The sequence below is a fragment of the Homo sapiens genome, chromosome 5 (genome assembly GCF_000001405.40).
Source record: "Homo sapiens chromosome 5, GRCh38.p14 Primary Assembly".
NCBI classification, from domain to species: Eukaryota; Metazoa; Chordata; class Mammalia; order Primates; family Hominidae; genus Homo; species Homo sapiens.
The window spans coordinates 151251823-151273276 of NC_000005.10; the positions used below are offsets into that span (position 1 = coordinate 151251823).

The 21454-nt window shown below is 46.0% G+C and overlaps 1 protein-coding gene across 2 annotated transcripts, besides 2 other annotated features; it reads left to right on the plus strand.

Annotated features, from left to right (window-relative positions):
- Window positions 974-1323: a silencer, noted in NCBI's record as "silent region_16523". NCBI's record gives its function as "represses an Ori minimal core promoter by ATAC-STARR-seq in GM12878 lymphoblastoid cells {active_cell/tissue: GM12878}" and the evidence as "EXISTENCE:reporter gene assay evidence [ECO:0000049][PMID:35858748]".
- GM2A (ganglioside GM2 activator) lies at window positions 1363-18618 on the plus strand. Of its 2 annotated transcripts, none has more exons than NM_000405.5 (4): window positions 1363-1475; window positions 7933-8094; window positions 14909-15091; window positions 15474-18618. In NM_000405.5, the coding sequence occupies exons 1-4, from the start codon at window positions 1395-1397 to the stop codon at window positions 15627-15629; spliced, it is 582 nt and encodes a 193-aa protein (NP_000396.2). In that variant the 5' UTR covers window positions 1363-1394; the 3' UTR covers window positions 15630-18618. The 2 variants fall into 2 exon arrangements, with proteins under 2 accessions (NP_000396.2, NP_001161079.1); NM_001167607.3 differs by having other exon boundaries at window positions 14909-15077; window positions 15670-18572.
- Window positions 4428-4567: an enhancer, noted in NCBI's record as "active region_23455". NCBI's record gives its function as "activates an Ori minimal core promoter by ATAC-STARR-seq in GM12878 lymphoblastoid cells {active_cell/tissue: GM12878}" and the evidence as "EXISTENCE:reporter gene assay evidence [ECO:0000049][PMID:35858748]".

The following is a 21454-nucleotide window of genomic DNA, read 5'->3' on the forward strand; positions in this document are numbered from 1 at the left end:
TCTGAACCCCCGGCCAGGCCACGGGTGTCTTATCAACAATAGAGGAAACGAACAGAACTTTGTAGTATTTTTGCAACTTTTCTGTAAACCAAAATAAAAAGTTTACTTTAAAAAAGATGATCAGGTGAGTTTTAAATTCTACACATGCATTCATGTACTCAACAGATTGTCTATTATGCATCAGGCACTGGGTATAAATGAGTGCCTGCATCATGATGCCACCCCTTGTGTAGTTTACAATCCTGTGGTAAATTGGCGGTATTGGTAACAACATCCCTGTTTTTTCTAAAAGCAAATCTCCAACTAGTATATTAACCTGACAAAATCTTGGCTGATGGGGTGTCTAAAAAGAAGTCTTGCTCTATTCCTTCCTAGCTGTGCGACCTTGGCAGAGCTAACCTCACTGTGTATCAGTTTCCTCAGTGCTAAAATTGGGGAAGAAAAAAAAAAAGCATTCCCTTGTGCGTCCTTAGCATGCTTTCAAGCAGTTACTAAATGTTAGTTTTTATAACGGTTATAATTATTAAAAAGATACGGATTCGTGAAGTCAAGAGATCAAGACCGTCCTGGACAACACGGTGAAACCCCGTTTCTACTAAAAACACAAAAATTAGCTGGGCGTGTGGCGCGTGCCTGTAGTCCCAGCTAGTCGAGAGGCTGAGGCGGAAGAATCGCTTGAACCTGGGAGGCAGAGGTTGCAGTGAGCCGAGATCGCGCCACTGCACTCCAGCTCGGGCGACAGAGCGAGAGTCCGTCTCAAAGCAAAAAAAAAAAAAAAAAAGACACACATATGGGGAAGCGTAACATGGCAGAGAGTCTGACATTTTTGTCCGGAAGGACTTGGGGATGAAAACACTGAATCCGCGGTTTCCCAAAGGTCCTTCCAAAGGTGACGGCCCCGGCACGAGTTCACAAACCACAGCTCCGCCCCATCCCCTGCCCGGCCCCGCCCTTCCCAGGAGCTCTGCTCCGCCCCGCCCCCGACTCCGCTCGGCCCCTCCTCGCGCCACGCCCCCGCCCCTCCCGCGCGCGCAGCTCCGCCCCGCCCTCGTGATCCCGCCCCAACCTCGTGCTAAGCTCCCTTCCGTTCCAGCCGCCTTCAGCCCCGCCGCGCTCAGTTCCGCCCCTTTCTCTTCCAACTCCGCCTACGCCCCAGAGAGGGAAGGCCTTGACACCTACGCTAGAGAGACAGGCTCCAATGAAAAGAGCGAGGGGGCGGAGCCGGGAGGAATCGGTCCAATTCTCGGCCGGGAAGTCTCTGGCCGGGACGGGGCAGGGCGAACCTGCCAGTGACTGGACTCAGCTTCTTTGCGTAACCAATACTGGAAGGCATTTAAAGGCACCTCTGCCGCCACAGACCTTGCAGTTAACTCCGCCCTGACCCACCCTTCCCGATGCAGTCCCTGATGCAGGCTCCCCTCCTGATCGCCCTGGGCTTGCTTCTCGCGGCCCCTGCGCAAGCCCACCTGAAAAAGGTGAGTGCACCCTCTTTTAAGAGTCTGTTTGCAGCCTCCTGGCCCAGCTACGGGTGTGCGGGTCTGGCTGAGATATGGGGGTGGCCACTCCGTTCTCTAGAATTGGTTCTCTGCACTAGAGCCTTCCAAAGTAACTAATTATGGGATTCTGGTCTGTACAATGAGGGTGGCCTCTAAAGACTTGTTCTGCTCCAGGCCCTTTTTGGAGAGATTAATCTCACGTCTGCACTCTCCTGCCCTCCCTCCAAGCGCCGGAGTGAAAATGCAGACAGCCTTAAAACTAAGGCATTGCCCCCAGAGATTCAGTCCTGTTAACCCTGCACCTTACTCCTGACCCCCACTCCTTATGTCCCCCATGATAAGGCCTGCTGCCTCATCTCTTCCCCTGCTCGAATGCCCTGAGGTCTTCCTGAGAGTTGGGAGGGTTTGAGAGCTTTTCCAGGCCAGAGGATCCAGATTTGCCCATCTGGTGACAAATACCCAGGCCTGTGACCCCGCTGCCCTTGGTTATGAGCCACTGAGACAACAGTCCCCGTACCCTCCAAGCTTCCTCCTTCACTTCTCATTGACACCGCTTCTTCCTTCACTTCTCATTCACACCGTGCTGCAGATCCCTGGGAAAGGGAAGTTCTGTAATCCCTTCACCTGAAAAAGCCTCGTTCCTGGCTTATTGCAGCTAGCCCAATGTCTTTCAGATTCAATCTATGTTGTTGCAAATGACAAGATGTTCCCCCTTTTAAAGGCTGAATAGTATTCTGTTGTGTATATATGCCACATTTTCTTTATGCATTCAATTTGATGGATAATTTCTTCATCAAGTGTCTGTTGATGGATAATTTCTTTATCCATCAAGTGTCTGTTGATGGACACTTAGGTTATTTCCATATCTTAGCTATTGTGAGTAATGCTGCAATGAATATGGGAGTGCAGATAGCCCTTCGAAATGTTGATTTCAGTTCCTTTGGATATATACCCAGAAGTGGGATAATGGCTCATATGGTAGTTCTGTTTTATTATCTCATTTATATGCGGATTCTAACCAAGTTGAACTTACAGAAGTTGAGAGTAGAGGTGGGGTCTCACTCTGTCACCCAGGCTGGAGTGCAGTGGGGCGATTGTAGCTCACTGCAGCCTTAAACTCCTGGGCTCAAGCAGTCCTCCCACCTCAGTCTCCTGAGTAGCTGGGACTGCAGGTGTGGGCCACCAAGTTCTGCTAAGGAATAGGCTTTGAGATTTATTGCACACCAGGGTGACTATCGTCAGTAATGTATTATATACAGAAGCTCCTTAACTTTCCATGAGGTTATGTTCTGATAAACCCATCATAAGTTGAAAATGCATTTAATACAGCTAACCTGAGAATCATAGCCTAGCCTACCTTAAACATGCCTAGCCTACCTTAAACATGCCCAGAACATTTACATTAGCCTACAGTTGGGCAATATCATCTAACACAAAGCCTATTTCATAATAAAGTGTTGAATGTCTCATGTGATTTACTGAAGACTGTACTGAAAGTGAAAAACAGTATGGATACTAAAAGTACAGTTTCTACTGAATATTTATCACTTAGGCACGATTGTAAAGTTGAAAAATGGTATGTCAAACCATTGTAAGTCAGGAACTGTGTGCATTTCAAAACAACTAAGAGAATACATTTCACATTGCAGTGTACCCCATAAATGTATACAACTATGGTTTGTCAATTTAAAAAAAACCCAAGACCAGGTGCGGTGGTGCACACCTGTAATCCCAGGACTTTGGGAGGCTGAGGTGGACAGATTGCTTGAGCTCAGGAGTTCAAGACCAGCCTGGGCAACATGGTGAAGCCCCATCTCTGCAAAAATACAAAAATTAGCTGGGCGTGGTGGTGTGCGCCAGTATTCCCAGCTACTTGAGAGGCTAAGGTGAGAGGCCCAGCTACGCCTGAACCTGGGAGGTCATGGCTACAGCTGAGATTGCACCACTGCATTCCAGCCTGGGTGACAGAGTGAGACCCTATCTCACAAAAAAACCCCAAAAACAAAAACCCGATTCCATTGCCTCTTGGCTGCTAGCTGTGGTCAAGACATCACACATTTCTGGTAGCAAAGGGATAGGTCCAACCCTGATCCCCTCCCTTCTACCATCTTGGAAGTGTTTGAGAGTGAGGAACAGTGCTGTGTAGGGGAAAGCGGGTGATACTGAAAGCAGGGAGGCTTGGCTTCTGATCATTCCCCTGTCTCAATCCATGGATTTCCTGAGTCTTGTTCTCCTCATCTGTAAGATGGGTGTGATGGTGCCAACGTGCATCTCGGGGAGTTGTCGGTGAAGGGAAATGCATTCATTGATGGAAAATTTCTAAAATCAGAAACAAATAAAGCCATATAAATCTGTGGGCTTGGCCTCACTCTGCCCCCGAGGCAGAAAGTCTGTTTTGCTTGTTGAATGAAGGAACGTGGACCTTTTGACTTCATTTGCCTGGAGAATTTATACCTTGTTCCTGAATGTTGGCTGAGAATGCTTCTCTTGGCTCCAGGGCTGGCCGCTATGAGGTGGAGTCTGGCTAGAGGCTGCTAGCTCACCCTACAAACTTGTTGTATATGCTGTGGGTATGGATGCCATCTCAGACTAGGTCTTAGATTGGCAGTTTTGAAGAGGCCCTGAGACATTATAAAGGTCACTCAAAATCACACAGCACCTACATCTTCTTGGGGCTCATGTGATTCAGAGCCCTGACCTTGAGTCCCTGGGCCAGATAAAGATGGGGGTGGGGGGTGACAGTGAATGAACATCAGGAAACCTGAATTTCAGTTCCTCTTCTAGCATAACTGATCTTGTGACTACAGGCTGTGATGGGTGTTAGATAACAGGGGAGGATATCTAGCCCCATGCTAGTCATATAGTAGGTGCTTAATAGACTCTATAGTGCTGTATAGTGGCTGTCATTTGTTGTACCCATACTATGTGCTATGTACTGGGCTATGTGCTTTTTTCCTAAAAAAAAATTTGGAATAATTTTAGGTTTATAGAATAGTTGCAGCAGGGCGTGGTGGTTCACCCCTATAATCCAGCACTGTGGGAGACCAAGGCAGGCAAATCACTTGAGGCCAGGAGTTTGAGACCAACCTGAACCTGGCCAACATGGTGAAACCCTGTCCATACTAAAAATACAAAAATTAGCCAGGCATGGTGGCGTACACCTGTAGTCCCAGCTACTTGGGAGGCTGAGGCAGGAGAAATCACTTGAACCTAGGAGGCAGAGGTTGCAGTGAGCTGAGATCACGCTGCTGCACTCCAGCCTGGATGACAGAGTGAGACTCTGTCTCAAGAAAAAAAAAAAAAAAAGAAAAGTTACAGAGATAATATAGAGTTTCTATATACTCCTGACTCAGTTTTCCCTGTTAGCATCTTATATGTACATATCTCCAACACTAAGAAACCAACATTAGTACATTACTGTTAACTGAATTCTAGACTTTATTTGGATTTCACCAGTTTTCCCATTAATGCCCTCTTTCTGAGCCAGGATCCAATCCAGGGTACTGCACTGCCATTGTTGTCATGACACATATAATTGTAGTCCCCCCTCTCCTCCAGCCTATGACAGCTTCTTAGTCTTTCCTTGTTTATTCATGAGCTTGGCAGTCTTGAGGAGTTGTGCCCTGTGCTTTCTGTATACAAACATCTTACCCTCACAATAGCCCTGTGAGAAGATATCATTATGTCCACATAATAAATGAGGAAATTTTGAACCCCTAGGGGGTTAACTTACCCATGGTCTTAGCTAGTAAGACTGGCTGAGCTGGGTTTTAACTCATACCTGTAGTACCCATATCTCTGCCTCCAGAGCTGTGCCTTTCCCCTCCGTCTTGTACCACCCCTTCCCACTAGTTGGCCTAGGCTGGAATGGCAGATATCTGGTGACCAGCCTGGCCTTGGTGGGCACTGCTAATCCATTACACCTCCCTTCCCTGATGAGCCTGGACTCAGCAGCAGAATTTGTCACTACAGAGACAGCTAGCCGGGCATTACCCTCAGGAAGCCATCTTGTTACGTCTCCCCCAGGGCCTGGGGAAAGAAGAGCTTAGGAGAGGGGAAGGGATTCTTCTCCGGTAGGTACTCTGGATACCCTACCCCCACCCCCAGCCCAGAATCAATTCTCTGTGTGGATCAGGCTGCCTTAGAATCTATGAAAACAGCCCCACCCAGAAAACTAGTCCTGCTCCTATGTTGCCCTCCAGCCTGACTCTTAATTCCAGGCAATCTTTCCCTTGACCACTTTCAGTCTGTTCACAACCACAAATCACAGTGTAGTACTGTCCTTCAGTGGGGTTCCACTGCCCCTATAGTAAATGCAACCTCCCGATTATAGCTTGTGGGGTCCTGCATTAAATGACCCTGCTACCCCTCCAACCTCATCTGGGTCCCTCATCTACTACATTTAGCCCATGGCCTTCTCCCAGTGCCTGGAGCAGCCAAGCTTCTTTGTGCCTCGGGGCCTTTGCCTGAGTTCCCTCGGCCTGCACTTACATGTCTGACTCCGCATCCTGCAAGAGCCCGGCTTAAGTATCACTTCCCCACCACCCTATGTAAGTGAGTCCTTTGTTGCTGTCAGCATTACCTTCTGCTCTTTTCCTTTGTGGCACTCACAAATCATAGTGGGTGATATTTATTTGCATTAGACGGTAAGCTCCTCAAGGCAGGGCAGGAGCCAGGTCTGATTGTTTACCACTCTTGCCACAGCACTTAGCCCAGGGCCTATCATCATTGCTCCATAAATATTTGTGGAATGAATGTTGAAGGAAACATTTAGTGGCAACTATCCTGTCCTGCCTTTCTTAGTCATGACATGACCTTTCATTCCAAGGGGTAGGAACCCATTCCTAAAAGCTCAGGTAAAGGGGAAGTTTATTACAGAGCTGCAAGACATCCCATGGAGCTGCCGGCAGGAAGCGGAGGCTAGGACGCTAATGGCTCCTTTAGTGAGCCGGCTCCCGTGTTGTGCCTGGCATTGGGTTATGAGCTTTACATACACGCTCTCGCCCTTGCAACATCCTGGAGAGGAAGGTAGAAATGCCTCCAGTTAAAAGATGTGGAAATTTAGACTCCAAAGGGGAAACTGGCCTATAAAATCACATGGTAAGTGTGGCAGAGCTATGATTTCCACCCAGGGCTGTTTGGCTAAAGCTGTCATTCACCCATGTCTCTCCAAAGCCATGCCCTTCACTGCTACTCCATACTGCTTTTATAGATAGGGAAGTGGGACTTGATCTGTTCCCTTTTCCACAGACCAACAGAGCCCTTAGCCCTTAGCCCTAACTTCTGCTTGGTCATGGATCACAGATCTAGATGGTCTGGCCTCAACCCAAAACTTAGGATCCAGTGACAGCACAAAACCCCCATATCCCCAGCCTTTTATACCTTAATTCCAAAATTGGGCAGAGAGAATCTGTCAGCCTAGCTGGGGTTAGGTGATCCCTCTTGAAAGAGTCAGTGATGGGAGTGTTGAAGGTGGGCATCAGCTTGGGGGTGTGGGACTGGCAGGTTTTCTCTCTGAGACAGGGTGTGGATGGAGGGCATGCCAACAGTCTCTCATAGGTGGCCTCCAGGGGGCTGGGAGAGGTGAGAGTGGGTGGGCAGAGAGTCTTCACAGTGTGGGAGGTGTTCAAGATCATCAGACAGGGTCTGTTGGAGTGCGGAGTGGTGGTCACATGCAGTCACATGCAGATGTAGTGGTGGTGGAATCAGGAGACCTGGGGGATGTGGAGGAGGAACAGGAGCAGCTCAGCACAGGGGTGGTGAGTGATCCAAGTGGGCATGTGGCATGAGAAGAGGGATGGGAAGAAGACACTGGTTAGGACTGGGGAAGTCCACTGGGGATTATTCATCAGCAAGTGATCCACTGGGGATCTTTTCATGAGTGTCCTATTCCTTTCTGAGTTAATCACCTGCCCCTTGAGAGTGGGATTTCAGATGCTGTTAGATTTCCCATTGTGTTTTGTGTTTCCCATTGTTCCTGGCTCTGGGTTGGGCACGGGGTGTGACATGAACAAGGTCCTGGGTGTGGGCTGCAGAGGTGAATCCTCCAGGAGCTTGCCCTCTGCTGGGATTCCAAGGCTGGCTGGAGAGGAGTGGGCAGCAGGGAGGTGGGAAGTCAGAGAAGGTGCCCACCAAAGGCCAATTAGGTCAGTCTCCTGTTTGGAAGTTCCAGGTCTATCATATCCTGCCTTATAGTTTACAATACACTTTTGGGAGATTATGTCTTTTGAGTCTTTTAGTTTAGTCCTGCCTATAAAATGAGTAGGATAAGTGTTATCCCAGCTTCATAGGTATGGAGTCTCATAGATGAGGCTCAGGGACGGGGGTGCCTCACCCAAGGTCACTCTGCCAGGAGCTCATTTTTCCTGTGATCTGTGATAGTTTCTTTTGTCAACCTTTTTCTTCTTCTCCTTCCTTGCTGCCTGATTGTCCCCAGCCATCCCAGCTCAGTAGCTTTTCCTGGGATAACTGTGATGAAGGGAAGGACCCTGCGGTGATCAGAAGCCTGACTCTGGAGCCTGACCCCATCATCGTTCCTGGAAATGTGACCCTCAGTGTCATGGGCAGCACCAGTGTCCCCCTGAGTTCTCCTCTGAAGGTGAGCCTGGGGGTGGGTGGAGAAGGGGAGGTGCGAGGGTCTGGCCAGCAGGGGTACTGGGGCATGTATGCTTGGGGAACTGTGAAGAATTTCAGAATCCTGGATTCCCAGAGAATAGTACAGGACATGTAGATTCAGACACTCTTTCACAGGTTCATGGAATCTCAGGATCATAAGATTGAAAGGAATCTCTGATGTCAGCGCCAGCAACTTCCTGGTGAGGGCAGGAGTGACGGATACCTTGCACCTGGCAGAAGCGTCCTGGCCTTCTCTGGGCCTGGTGGCCAACTGCTCATTATTGTCTGACAGCTCTGGTTGGCCAATTTGGTTTTGTTGTTAATTATAAAATTGATATACCAATTAGCCAGTAATATATAGTCACTTTAGAAAACACAAGTGGTCAAAAAATAAATAAAATAGGCCAGGTGTGGTGGCTCATGCCTGTAATCCCAACACTTTGGGAGGCTGAGGTGGGTGGATCTTTTGAGGTCAGGAGTTTGAGACCAGCCTGGCCAACATAGTGAAACCCCATCTCTACTAAAAGTACAAAAATTAGCTGGGCGTGGTGGCATGTGCCTGTAATCCTAGCTACTCAGGAGGCTGAGGTAGGAGAATTGCTGGAACCCAAGAGGCAGAGGTTGCAGAAAGCCAGGATCGCACCACTGCACTCCAGCCTGGGTGACAGAGTGAAACTCTGTCCCAAAATAAATAAATAAATAAAATAAATCACTTGAAATCTCACTACCTAGTGATAAGGGATAAGCACTTTTAACATCTTATAGGATATTCTTTGCAACTTTCCCCCATACAATTACATACATAACACACATATTTATTTTTAATGGATATGTATGATAATAGGCAGTGCTCATTGTAAATGTCCTCCAGTAATCTAAATCCTAGAGATAGTCAGTGTTTGCTCTTTATATATCCCATCAGAATTTTTATGTGTTTGTAAATATATACACACTTATACTCATGGGATTATATGATATGTGCTATTATACTTGCTATTTTTTTTGCCTCATACTATATGTCCATATCTTTCCAAGGATTAGGTGGCTCTACTTATTCAATTTTTTTTTATCCAATCATTATTTTATTATTTTAATGTATTGTAATTTTAGAGACAGTGTGTCACTCTGTTGCTCAGGCTGGAGTGCAGTAGTGTGATCATGGCTTACTGCAGCCTTGACCTCCTGGGCTTAAGGGATCCTCCCACCTCAGCCTCCTGAGTAGCTGGGACCACAGGTTCATGTCACCATGCTTACCTAATTTTTTTATTTTTTATGGAGACGGAGCCTCCCTGTGTTGCCCAGGCTGGTCTCAAACTCCTGAGTTCAAGCAATCCTCCTGCCTCAGACTCTCAAAATGTTGGGATTATAGGCGTGAGCCACCTTGCTCAGCCCACCCAATCATTTTTAATGGCAGAAATATTCTGATGTGGATCTTTCATAATTTATATAACAAGTCTATTGTTGAACATTTAGTTTGTTTCCAGGGTAGTTTTTATTTGTTTGTTTGTTTATTTGTTTGTTTTGAGACAGGTTCTTACTCTGTTGCCTAGGCTGGAGTGCAGTAGCGCAATCTCAGCTCCCTGCAACCTCCACTTCCCGGGTTCAAGCGATTCTCCTGTCTCAGCCTCCCAAAGTGCTGGGATTACAGGCACCTGCCATTGCGCCCCACTAATTTTTGTATTTTTAGTAGAGATGGGGTTTCACCATGTTGGCCAGGCTGGTCTTGAACTCCTGACCTCAGGCAATGTGCCTGCCTCGGCCTCCCAAAGTGCTGGGATTACAGACACCTGCCACCATGCCCAGCTACTTTTTGTATTTTTAGTAGAGATGGGGTTTCACCATGTTATCCAGGCTGGTCTTGAACTCCTGACCTCAGGCAATCCACCTGCCTCAGCCTCCCAAAGTGCTGGGATTATAGGCTTGAGCCACTGTACCTGGCCAGAGGGTTTTTTTTGTTTGTTTGTTTTTTGTTTTGCTGTAGTAACCACCTTTGTAGAAATTATTCTTATAGTACATCTTTTTATAATTTTCTGATTCTCTAGATACACACTTTTTAGGTCTTTTGATACATTTTGCCAAAGTGCCTCCCAATGTTTGAATAAACCTGCATCATTCCTAGTGAGCGTAGATGTCTATTCATAAGTTTATTTGCCTTTTGTATTTACTTTGGGAATAACCTGTTTGTTTCCATCCATTGACTATTTTAGGGGTGTATGTTTTTATATTTTCTTAGAAAACAATGAAGACTTTTCATATATCCATTGCAACACCATTTAATATGGTCCTTTCCTCTCTAGCTAAAATTGCTACCTTTATATGATGCTCCTCTATGCCCTTCAGTCTGTTCCTGATCCAGATCTATTCTAGTACCAGTTTTGTGTTAATTATTTAGAAGATTCCTGATTTGGATTCTGTGTTTCTATCATTATCCTTAGACCTGTCTTAATCACAGCTCCTACGTTATGGGCTTTCCTTGAGCAATACCTGAGTTAGAAAATCATGTGGAAAGTGCTTTGCACAGGGCCTGGCACCCAGGACATGCTCAGTACATTTTATATCTTGTGAACATTTCGATTAGTATCTGTCTTATCCTGCAGTCTCTTGACCCAGACACAAGTCCTGGATATGTGGCAGCTTTCAGCTCCCCTGCACCTCCTACCAAGCCTTTTCCTAGCAGAGTCATTGTGTTTCCATTACTGTTCCTCAAGTGATAGGGGGTCAAGCCCTGTACCCTTGGATCTGGGCCAAGGGATGGAATCATTCCCTATGTATGGACACTGGACTGTTTCTCTGCCAGGGTCACACACATTTATTTGTGTGCTCCCTCTGCTGATCTGGAGTGTGGGCTCTCCTGGTAGGCCGTCCGCCATGCTCCCTCTGCTGCCATCACCATGCAGCCACTGGTGTTTCCAGGGAGGGGGCTATGCAGCTGACTTGGAAACAAGAAGCTGGCAAACCCGCTCTTCTGCCCTCAGCCTGCTTTTCCTGGCTTCTTCACAAACCATTAAGATGGGTTTTACTCCCTATTCTCCTTTTCCATTGCTTTATTACCTTTCATAAATTTGGGCCTACATAATCTCCTCTGTCTTTACTGTCACTTGTGCTTAGGAAAAATTAGCCTCAGATCCCCTCTGCTCCTTCTTTTTCCCCAATTTCTTTTTTTTTTTTTTTTTTTTTGAGATGGAGTTTCACTCTGTTGCCTAGACTGGAGTGTAGTCGCGCGATCATGGCTCATTGCAACCTCTGCCTCCCGGTTTCAAGGGATTCTCCTGCGTCAGCCTCCAGAGTAGCTGGGATTATAGGCGTGCACTTTTTTAGTAGAGATGGGGTTTTGTCACATTGGCCAGGCTGGTCTCAAACTCCTGACCTCAGGTGATCTGCCCACCTTGGCCTCCCAAAGTGCTGGGATTACAGGCGTGAGCCACCAGGCCCGGCTCCCAATATTTCTCGTATATATATATATATTTATTTATTTATTTGGTTCAGTTCTTTTTTCAGGATATGTGCATATCAACTATTAGATGAAAGCTCTTCTGACCACTTGCTAGGGAGAAGAGCCGATGAGGGACAAAGGGTCTCAGGAAAGGTTGCAACTTGACCCAGGTCACAAAGCTAGTTGTTAGCATGGACAAGGCTGGTATGTTTATCTTGGGGTTTGGTTCCTGAGCTTTTACTGGCAGGGAGGTAGACTTGGTGCTTGGTGTATTTGCAGGGGAGGGGAGAGGAGTGCTGCAGATTCAGTTCCAGAACTCTCCCCTTGCCCAGCAGACCTGCTTATGAGAGCTGCCCAGAACTAAGCTCTGGATGAGCCTGGAGCACTCTTGGGGTCCATGGGGCTTCAACCCCTTGTTACACTGAGGCCCAGAGGAGAGTGACTGCCCAAACCCAAGAAAGCAACTGCCATCCTCTCTTTCTCTGATCTTGCTGTAGTGAAATTTCTTTAATCAAAAGTCAAATCTGGGACCTGGCTGGATTTGACTCCAGCTGCAATTTTTAAAAGTTAAATGTCCCGGATTCCATGGCCGTGGGTAAGACTGGGGCCTGCTCAGGAGCTCCCTTTTCTCTTTTGACTTGCTCCATGGGATCTGGCATAGTTAATAACTCCCAATGCCCAGCCCTCCCTCAAGTTCCAGCCTGTGGGACCCTGGTTTTCCCATCCTCAAGAACTGTAAATTGTCACTGTATTTGTCATATGTACTTATTCCAGCCTTTCAGGCCTGGTAACTTGGCTCCCCCAGCACCCAAAGTCATATACATGCCTGGGCTCATTACTCCACCCTGCTTCCTTTTCTGAGTCATAGTAGCAAATAGATTGAGAATAAGAAATGAGCCATCATTTGTAATTTCCAAATGGTAGGTGTGGCTGCTGCCTTAGAACCCTCTGTTGACTTCAGTTCAGTACACTTCTTGTGTCGTGCTGGTCCTGTGCTGGGGGCAGGAGTAGAGATGAGGGAGCCACTACCTCTTCTGGTAGATGCAGCCCTACAGGTTCCAGCCTGGTGGGAGGAGCCCTGGCAGGACTTGTCCCCCTACTGGCCTCCTCCACTGTGTGTTCTCACTCAGGGCATAACTGGCTCAAACATTTTCATTAGGGTATTGGCGACACAAGGAGAGAGTATTGGCTAAGGAAAAAGGCAGGGCAGAAGTCATGGAGGAGGAAGCTTTTGATTTCAGGCACTGTGCAAAGTGCTGGTATTTCCCTCTCAATGGGACCTGTGAGAGAGGTAGGCACTCTAAAATATCCCACTTTTGAAGATGAGGCGAGGCTGGATACAGTGCTTCATGCCTGTAATCCCAGGACCTTGGGAGGCCGAGGCGGGTGGATCATTTGAAGTCAGGAGTTTGAGACCAGCCTGACCAACATGGTGAAACCCCATCTCTACTAAAAATACAAAAACATTAGCCAGGCGTGGTAGCTCATGCCTGTAATCTCAGCTACTCAGGAGGCTAAGACAGGAGAATCGCTTGAACGCAGGAAGCAGAGTTTGTAGTGAGCCAAAATCACACCACTATACTCCAGCCTAGGTGACAGAGTGAGACTCTGTCTCAAAAAAAAAAAAAGAAGGTGAGGGAATGGCCACTGAGAGAGATTAAGTAACTCACCCAAGGGCACAATAAAACTAGGAAGTGGCAGAACTAGCATTCCAACCTAGGCCCTCTGACTTTTCCTAGGCAGCGGGGTAGAAGCAGGTTTGATGAGAGAGAGGAGGGCTGAGAGGGTGCTGTGTGGCCAGTGGTGGAGATAATGGGTATGTCTTAGGAGCAGATGAGGCCAGTGAGAGGAGCAATTAGAATTTGTCCACTCAGACCACAGGATGTGCTAACTTCTTTGTTCTTTCTGGGCCTGGAGGAAGGCAGCTAATATCTCGACATCTGGGGCATCTGGAAGACTTGAGTCCGTGGCCTGGGAACCAGCCTGAGCCCAGCAGCCTCTTAGGACATAAGTGCCCATCCAGGATTTAATCTCTTAGAAACAGAGCCCCAAATAAAGTGAGCCTAGAGGCTGGGATTCCTAGAATGCTAGAATGTCAGAGCTGAAAGGGATCCTAAAAATGTGATTTCCTGCCATAACACGCACAAGGAATCAGATATTTGAGAAAGCTAATTTCCTGGTGCTCTTTCCTGAGAGTTTTCCCTTGATACCTTTGGTGGGTGATGGACATGGTTCTAAAGCCAACTCATTTGGCACTAGAGGCAACTAACACATGGTGACTGTTCAGCGCGTGCCCGGCACAACTGGGATGTCCACCATGAAATTTGGGCCACTTCCTCCTGGTCAGCTTCAGCCTCCAAAACGGGAGCAAAGTCATGACAGTATGGAGGTGTGAAGTGTGTTCTAGAGCTTCTCACCCAGCCCTACTCCAGGCACAAGAGTCTTTTGTAGCTTTCCCGGCTGAGTCAGGGAGCCCGTACTCCTTGAGGCAGCTCCATCTGTTGTAACCTAGCTATGATTTTATACCAGTCTCAAGGTGATCTTTCTATACATTCCTATTGTTCTTAATTCTGTCTTCTGTGGCTGTACGGAGAAAATGTGACCCAAGAGCAGCCAGTTGGGTTCATTTTGGTAACCAGCTCATCAGTTGGTAGTAACTACCTGAAGTCCTATGCAGAAAAGGATTTTGGGGCCACGACTGGGCTCAGAAGGAAAGCCCAGGAAACAATGCCACAGTTAACCAATTAGCAGTTAGATGACAAGTGCATTTCAATGCAAGTGTTAGAGCCAATCAATGGGTAGTGACTACCTAAAGAATTCTAAGACTATGGACTGAGCATGATGGCTCACGCCTGTAATCCCAGCACTTTGGGAGGTGGAGGTGGAAGGATTGCTTGAGGCCAGGAGTTCCAGACCAGCCTGGGCAACAAAGTGAGACCCCATCTCTACAAAAAATACAAAATTAGCTGGGTGTGGTGGCATGTGCCTGTCTGTGTTTCCCACCTACATGGGAGGCTGAGGCAGGAGGATCGTCTGAGCCCAGGAGTTTGAGGCTGCAGTGAGTGCAGTGAGCCATGATACAAAAAAAAAAAAAAAGAATTCTAAGTCTATGTATAGTTCAGTGTAGGGGGAAAATTCACATTTGATTATTAATGTCTGCCATGGGCACAATAATACACTATACTCACACATGGGCCACAATGTTGCCATTCCTAGAACAGACTATCTCTAAGATCTCATCCAGTTAAAAATTCTATGATTAAAATATATTGCTGCTTTTTTGAAGACAGAAGAGCTGGTATGTTTGCCCTGGAATTTACACTTATAACCTTTTTCAAACCTTTGTTTTATTTTTTTTTACCAGGTGGATTTAGTTTTGGAGAAGGAGGTGGCTGGCCTCTGGATCAAGATCCCATGCACAGACTACATTGGCAGCTGTACCTTTGAACACTTCTGTGATGTGCTTGACATGTTAATTCCTACTGGGGAGCCCTGCCCAGAGCCCCTGCGTACCTATGGGCTTCCTTGCCACTGTCCCTTCAAAGAAGTAAGTACTTAGGGAGGAGAGAGCGTTACCCCTGTGGCTAAAGAGATGGGGTTTGGAGAGAAGGGTCTTTGCATTCTCCTTCTGCAGATCTGCATGTCTCTGGATTTGTAAGCCAGTGTGACCTATCAGGAATCACTTATCTTCCGGGAGCCTCAGTTATCCATCTACGAAATGGGAGACTTGAACTTAGATGTGATCTTCAGGGCCCTTTATCCATAATAATCCATGCTCTACAGTGCTATGGCCGTCTCTCATCTTGTGCGGCTGTTTTGAGAATGGGAAGAGGGGTGGTAGTTCATGGCTGCAATCCTAGCAGTGGCTCTAGGAGAAAGACCCCATCAGTAGGCTCCCACTGACTGGCGGTCCACTGGCTTTCCCGCAGGGAACCTACTCACTGCCCAAGAGCGAATTCGTTGTGCCTGACCTGGAGCTGCCCAGTTGGCTCACCACCGGGAACTACCGCATAGAGAGCGTCCTGAGCAGCAGTGGGAAGCGTCTGGGCTGCATCAAGATCGCTGCCTCTCTAAAGGGCATATAACATGGCATCTGCCACAGCAGAATGGAGCGGTGTGAGGAAGGTCCCTTTTCCTCTGTTTTGTGTTTGCCAAGGCCAAACTCCCACTCTCTGCCCCCCTTTAATCCCCTTTCTACAGTGAGTCCACTACCCTCACTGAAAATCATTTTGTACCACTTACATTTTAGGCTGGGGCAAGCAGCCCTGACCTAAGGGAGAATGAGTTGGACAGTTCTTGATAGCCCAGGGCATCTGCTGGGCTGACCACGTTACTCATCCCCGTTAACATTCTCTCTAAAGAGCCTCGTTCATTTCCAAAGCAGTTAAGGAATGGGAACCAGAGTGTTTTAGGACCTGAAGAATCTTTATGACTCTCTCTCTTTCACTCTTTTTTTTTTTTGTCACTAAGTTAAAAGCGAAGTGAGAGTATTAACGTTTTTGTTCTCCTCCGGCCCCCTGTTACAATGAAGGGGCAAAAGTATTTGCTCTTAGTCTATTCCTCCCTTAACTTCTGTGACTAATTTTTATTTCCTTTCTAGATTTGCCCAATTAATACTAGGGTGCAGTGTATCCTGGAGAGGTAGGGTGTGTGGGGGAGGAATCCCTTGGGGGAGATATTAGGAGTGCTCTGTTGTTTACAAACTCAGGTACCCGCAGGGCCTAGCAAGAGACTTAAATGACTGATAAGAACCGTGAGAAACATGTTGCTTCCAGGCTTGATTTCGATTTTTCGCTTTTTTTTTTTTTGAGACAGAATCTCACTTTGTCACCAGGCTGGAGTGCAGTGGTGCAATCTCACCTCACTGCAACCTCCGCCTCCTGGGTTCAAGCAATTCTCCTGCCTCAGCCTCCCAAGTAGCTTGGACTACAGGCCCTGCCACCACGCCCGGCTAATTTGTGTATTTTTAGTAGAGATGGGGTTTCACCATGTTGGCCAGGATGGTCTCGATCTCTTGACCTCGTGATCTGTCCACCTTGGCCTTGCAAAGCGCTGGATTACAGGCATGAGCCACTACACCCAGCCGATTTTTCCTTTTTGATTAAAGATGCTATTACAATGTAAATATTTCTTACACAGAAAGTCACAGCACATGTGCCCATTGATACAAGGCTGCTGAGGCCTGGTCTCCAGTTGGAAATATAATTAAGGGTGGCAAGGACTGGAGTCAGTTGGAGAGTGCATAGCCAGTCTGTGAAGACAACTGCCAGATACTGGCAATACTCCAGCCTGGTGACAGAGTGAGACTCTGTCTCAAAAAAAAAGTTTCAATGTTTACTCCTAGAGAAGCCAAAAATCCAGATTTGTATATGAAATCTTACCATTTTAAAAGATTGGCAGCTAATTATTTTTTTAAAAAGCTGTGCAGTGTGATGTGTCCCAAACGGACTGGCTCATGGGTGGCCACGTCACAACCTCTGATCTCAGACCGTGCATGCCTTGTCCTCTTAAGACAACTCCTGTGGCACCGTTTCTCCCTCCACAGGGCCAAAGCCATAGTGTCCGGTCCCAAGGACAAGGCTCTTCCAGTGCTAGGAGAGGTATGAGCAGCCTCTCACCTGTGAGCTGTGGGGATCACAAGGCTGCCTGCCTCAGTCTTGGAGTCCTGTTGGGTGAATGAGGCAGATGGGAAAGAGCCTCACCAGCAGCTGCTTTTGGAGCAGGGGTCCAAGGAAGAGAGGGTGGCCTCGACATCAAACTGCCTGGATTTTTCTACCACCCTGTTACATCATAACAACTTCTGAAACACACACCAGCCCTGAGTTCTGGGCTCATTTGAAGCCTGGAATAGCAATAAATCTTTTTAACTTGCGGACAGTTTCCCCTTGCCTTGGCTGCATATTTCACTGATCACATCTCAGGATTTCAAAAGCATTTTTGGGGTGGGGCTCTTTTGGTTGGAAGGGTTTGTTGGAACGGTACAGGTGAGCCGAGGTGATTCCAGGGACGGACCCTTCTGCAGGAGCTTGAGCTTGCTTGTTGTCTCTGCTTCATCGCCATCCAGCTCCCTTGTTTGCTATTTTGCTTTCCATCACATCATGACTGCGGAGAGCAAAAATCACCTAGTGACCATTGAACAGGTCCCAGAGACAAAATCTTTTTATCTGAGGAATTTAAAAGGGAGCAAAGACCACCTGGTGACTATCAGGCCATGCAGAGGCAAAACGCCTTATTTGGGGAAAATTAAAAGTAATTAGACTTTCCTATTATCTAAAGCAGGCATCTGGTTCCAGATTTCTTTTCCCCGAAAAAAACCTTAGAAGTAACTAAAATTTCTGTACATCTCCGGAATGCCATGCTGAAACTCACTGCAACCCCACGGTCCCGCTTTAAGGTCCATAAATATCCCTAAGGAAAAATCCACCGTGGTACATTCAGTCCTCTCACCGAGGTGCCCCATGGCAGTCTTCTGCAGCATTCTTCTAATACCTTTCCTTTTTCAAACCTATACTGTTGTTGGTGAATTCTTTTTACCAACCCACGAGTTGACCACTTCCCAATGCCGGGGATCTGACACCTCACCTGGCAATGACCTCCACAGCCGTTTCCCTCTGTTGGATCTTCCAGCCTTATTCTCAACAGTTCATTTTTAGTTCACATTCTTGACCGAATCTCAGTAGCTCAGTTAATCTTTTTATGTCTGCTCTGCTCTTGGGTCATATGTTCCGTGAGGTTTCTTAGGGGTGGGGGATGAGGAGTTAAAGGTGGCATCTTCAATCGCAGGTCAAAGCAGACTTTAATAAATGGTGCTGAGCCAACTGGAAAGCCCCTTGGAGAAAGTTGAAGTTAGACCTGTACTTCACACCATATGCAAGAATGAACTCCATCTGGATCCAGGATCCAAATGTAAGAAAATGAAGCCATATAAATACAGAAGGAAACGTGGTGGAAATATCCAGTGGCAACAAAATATTGACACATTTGACTACATGAAGATAATAAAAATGCTTAGTAAAAACACAATAAAATCAAATGACTGGGAGAAAAATTTATCCAGCCTATATAATAGACAAACAGTTAGTGTTCTTACTATATAAGGAATTAAAAATTAAGGGACAAAGGACCAAAAACTTGATAGAAAAACTGGGAAAAGACATGAACATACTCACGTAAAGATATAAAAATGGCTCTTTAAAATGAAATATTCAAACTAACTCATTAGAGAAATGTAAATTGAGATAATACTGAGATACCATTTATCATCTCTAAGACTGGTGAAAGAAAGAACAACACATTTCTGTTAGGCAAGGCTATAGGGAAACACACTGTCATCACTGTTGGTAGGAATGCAAACTGGTATGACTTCTGGAGGGGAATTTGTCAGTACTTAACAAATTGCAGAAGCATTTACCCTTTGACACAACCATTTCCACTGTGGGAATTTCCCTTGAAGATGCACCTCCAACAGTACAAACATACAGATGCACAAGATTACTCATTGCAGCACTGAGACTGCAAATATTGGAAGCAAAGTCATGTTCATATACACGAGAAAGCCTGAGTAAACCATGGCACCAATGGCATACCCACATGATGGAATATTATTGAGCTATAAAAAAAATGAGGAAGATCTCTATGAATCGGTATAGTTATTTTCAAGATATATTAAATGCAAAAAGCAAAGTACAAAAAGTAGAAAGTGGTACTTTGTATGTAAGAAAGAAGGAGATGTAAGAAAGCACATGTATCTATTTGTTTATGCAAAGTAAATAAGGAAAGATTGGCCAGAAAGTAATGAGCTGTCTATGGATGGTAGGTGGGTTTAGAGTAGAAAGAAGGGAGAAATCATAACGGTGTAAAGGAGGAAGGGATGGAACACTGCCGAGTGTATCTGAGTATATTTTGTATAACTGTGAGTCTTGGAGCCATAGTAATGTTTCTCATGCCCCCCAAAATAATTAAAGTCAACCAGGATATGAGGAGAGTTCAAAATGAAATACAAACAGTAACAAATGAACTTAACTGTATTTCAGATGCATAATACAACCACATTGAAGGAGGTGGGCAAGAAAAATAAGAAGTTATAGCATTTTGATGGGATACTAGAAAGAGAAAAGGAACTGTACACAAATACCAGAGTCTAGTTAGCAAATTTTTCACAGAAGCAGAAGTTAGTAATTCAGGAAGTATTTTATGTGTGTATTAGGATGGGGAAAACAAATATATGGTAGGTAATGAGAACATGGGGGACATATTGAAAGGACACAGGAACCAAATTGAATGTCCCTCAGTGGCCAAATCTTGGGCAATTTGAGCAATAAAATAATGACAATAATGGGTTATAGTCCACTGACTAAAAATACACTATAGAATCCCATACACAATGGAATCACAAATGTAGAAGGAACGATAGAAATAGAAAAAATGGCTGGGTGCAGTGGCTCACGCCTGTAGTCCCAGCACTTTGGGAGGCCAAGGCGGGTGGATCATCTGGGGTCAGGAGTTCAAGACCAGCCTGGCCAACATGATGAAACCCTGTCTCTACTAAAAATACACAAAGTTAGCCAGGCGTGGTGGCACGTGCCTGTAATCCCAGCTACTCCGGAGGCTGAGGCAGGAGAATCGCTTGAACTGGGAGGTGGAGGTTGCAGTGATCTGGGACTGTGCCACTGCCCTCTAGCCTGGGTGACAGAGTGAGACTCCATCTCAAACCCACAAACAAAAAAACACCATTAGGCAAACACCATAGGAATAGTTGTTGCAGACAAGAAACACCTATGAATGCCGAATTAGTGAACAGAAGTATGATGGGAAACACGATTTTGCATGGTTTTAAGATCCCTTCACAAGATACTAATTACAAAGGGAAAAACAGTCATTATAGTGAATAAGCCTGACAGAAACCACCTTAACCCAGTGATCAAGTTAACATCACCACTAATAAGACATACTGATACCATGTACCTTCCAATATGATGCACTGAGAAGGGCACAATTGTCACTTCTGTGGTGTTGTCAGAAATGTGCAATCTCAGTGCAATCAGGAGAAAAGATCAGACAAGCCCAAACTGAGAGACACTCTACAAAATAACTGGCCAGTACGTTTTGAAAGTGCCAAGGCCGTGAACAATAAGGAAAGACTGAGGAACAGTCATGGACTGGAAGAGAGTAAAGAAATATGATAACTAACTGCATTGTGAGATACCGATTTAGATGTTGGATTAGAAAAAGGACCAGAAATAAGATTTCATCAATGTCAATTATTTGGTTTTGATAATTGTACTGTGGTTATGTAAGATGTTAACATTAGTAAGAGCTGGGTGAAGGGTACATGGAAACTATTATTTTTGCCACCCTTTGAAAGTCTAACTTTTTTCAAAATAAAAAGTTTTAAAAATAGTTTGCAGAAGTTTTCATTTTGAGAAAAAAAGATATGAACCTTGTATTAGGGTTCTGTACAGGGACAGAACTAATGGAACTAATAGAAATATATACAAAGGGGAGTTTATTAAGTATTAACTCACTTGATCACAAGGTCCCACAATAGGCCATCTGCAGGCTGAAGAGCAAGGAGAGCCAGCCCAAGTTCTAAAACTGAAGACCTTGGAGTCCAATGTTCGAGGGTAGGAAGCATTCAGCACGGGAGAAAGATGTAGGCTGGGAGGCTAGGCCAGTCTCTCTTTTCACATTTTTCTGCTTGCTTATATTCTAGCCGTGCTGGCAGCTGATTAGATTGTGCCCATCCAGGTTAATAGTGGGTCTGCCTTTCCCAGCCCACTGACTCAAATGTTAATCTCCTTTGGCAACATCCTCACAGACACACCCAGGATCAATACTTTGTATCCAATCAAGTTGACACTCAGTATTAACCAACACAAACCTGCCATCATGTAACTGCAGTACAGGAGAA